Source organism: Homo sapiens, chromosome 3, assembly GCF_000001405.40.
Source record: "Homo sapiens chromosome 3, GRCh38.p14 Primary Assembly".
Taxonomy (NCBI): domain Eukaryota; kingdom Metazoa; phylum Chordata; class Mammalia; order Primates; family Hominidae; genus Homo; species Homo sapiens.
In genome coordinates, this window is record NC_000003.12 from 152,759,487 (window position 1) to 152,761,569 (window position 2,083).

A 2,083-nucleotide genomic window follows, 5' to 3' on the forward strand; every position below is an offset into this window, starting at 1 on the left:
TATGTTTTCCTGTCATGGGAGAAATTGTGATCAGAAATGTGGAAAGTCAAAAATGTCCTATTTCTTGTTCCTGTCCCTTCGTCCCTCATACCTAACCATATCCTATTGCTTTTTTCTCCCTCATTTTCCCCATCTTCTGCCACTTTGGCCATTAGGATGAAGGAGCAAAAGTAAAAAAGAAAGCAATAATATAGGAATAGGTCAAGAGAGGAAAAGCTAAAAGAGAACTTGGATAACTTTTCCTCTCTTTAGAAGTGGAGGTGAAGTAATGCAATGCATGAAGCACTTATTTAGTGTCTTCCATATATAAGAGAATAAGAAAAAAGATCTGCAAGTGTCAAAAATAGGGTATAAATCTCCACTCTCCACTTGTCTCCTCTCTTACCTCCCCAAACATACTTCACAAACAACATTCCATATCTCTGTTTACAGAAATAGAATTGAGTCAAATTAAATTCTACTGACAGACAAAAGGCAGTCTTAGGAAAACTGAAGCAGTGAGGTCTAATTTTGGCAAGCTCTGGCTTGACTTTTTTTGTGTCCCCTCCTCTCATCTGGTTCTTTTCCAACAAGACTGAAATTTCACAAAAGGCCTAGATGTCCCTCAGCTACACTTTCTCAGGCTTACCCTTTCCACAACTCCCCAGATAAATTTATCTGTAGGCCATCTACTAATGTTCTGTCTGACAGAAGTGAATAAATGAATGAGTTACTGTATGTTAATCTGTTCTGTGCTTGAGAAGAGATTTAGTGTGGAAATGTGTTAAACCAAGGAAGTGGCTAAAATAATGATACCATAATGAGAATTTAAAGCACTAAGGTTGACCAAATGTGAGAAAAGATTTGACTTTGAGGAACCTCTTAAATCCGAAAGTATTGGAGGATACACGCTCTGTCACAGATGCCTGACTAGTGCTATAGCTTGGGGAGCTTTTGTCCTCTACAACAGGGGACTGCAAACTATTACTCGTGGACCAAATCTACCCAGCTGCCTGTTTTCGTAGATAACATAGTATAAGAACACAGTCATGTCCATTCTTCAGTGTTTCTGTGCCACAGTGGCAGAGTTTCAGCAAAGACCATATGATTCACAAAGCTTCAAATACTTACTGTCTGGCCCTTTCAAGAAAAAGTTTGCTGACCTCTACTCTATAGGAATAATAACATGGAAAAGAGGGGCAAGTCTTCTATCTTATTTCTATTTCTTTCTTTTTCTTTTCCTTTTCCCCCCCAATTTTTTTTTCTTCAATTATAGAACAGAGCAATTCAAACTTTCAGTTTGACTACTTAGCAAAAGCTAAAACTAATGAATCACGGTTATCTTAAGACATCTTCAATTTCTGCTGCTTTTACACTGTAGACATAATTGAATGAGCGGTTGTAGTGATTGTCTTGCTTTGGTTATATAACTCCAAATCAATTCCTATTTAGCTTCCTTTAATTACTTCTAATGACTGCGATTTATCACACAAGGAATTTACCTCTAACACAGTACAGAAAAATGCATATTGTCTTCTTATCTTACACTGCTAATGCATCATGTGCATAAAGGAGGCACAGATGTTTAGAGATTATAAATATTTTTGTGATAATATAGACGTAACACAAAACCTAGGCCATCACTCTTTGATGGAACTTTAGAATTACAAAGTGCTGGGCGTGGTGGCTCATGCCTATAATCCCAACACTTTGGAAGGCCAAGACAGGAGAATGCTTGAGCTCAGGAGTTTGAGAACAGTCTGGCAACATAGCATGACCTTGTCTACAAATAACAAAAAAGTTAGCATGGTGGTGTCTGTGGTCCCAGCTATTTGGAAGGGTGAGGTGGGAGGATTGCTTGAGCCCAGGAAGTTGAGGTTGAAGTGAACTGTGATTTCGCCACTGCAATACAGCCTGGGAAAGATTCTGTCCCTGCTAAAAAAAAAAGCACACTAAGATACCATTGCATTCTTCCAAAATAAAACTAGTATAAGAAAAAACTATAAAGTAGCCAATATTTTTAAAATATGAATTTTTGTAGTGCCTTAGTAGCCCATCCCCCCACGTTTGCATTACCCAAAACATGCTTCCCAGAAAGAGTTCT

The 2,083-nt window shown here is 38.1% G+C and overlaps 1 annotated feature.

Annotated features, from left to right (window-relative positions):
* Positions 692 to 761: an enhancer, noted in NCBI's record as "active region_20711". NCBI's record gives its function as "activates an Ori minimal core promoter by ATAC-STARR-seq in GM12878 lymphoblastoid cells {active_cell/tissue: GM12878}" and the evidence as "EXISTENCE:reporter gene assay evidence [ECO:0000049][PMID:35858748]".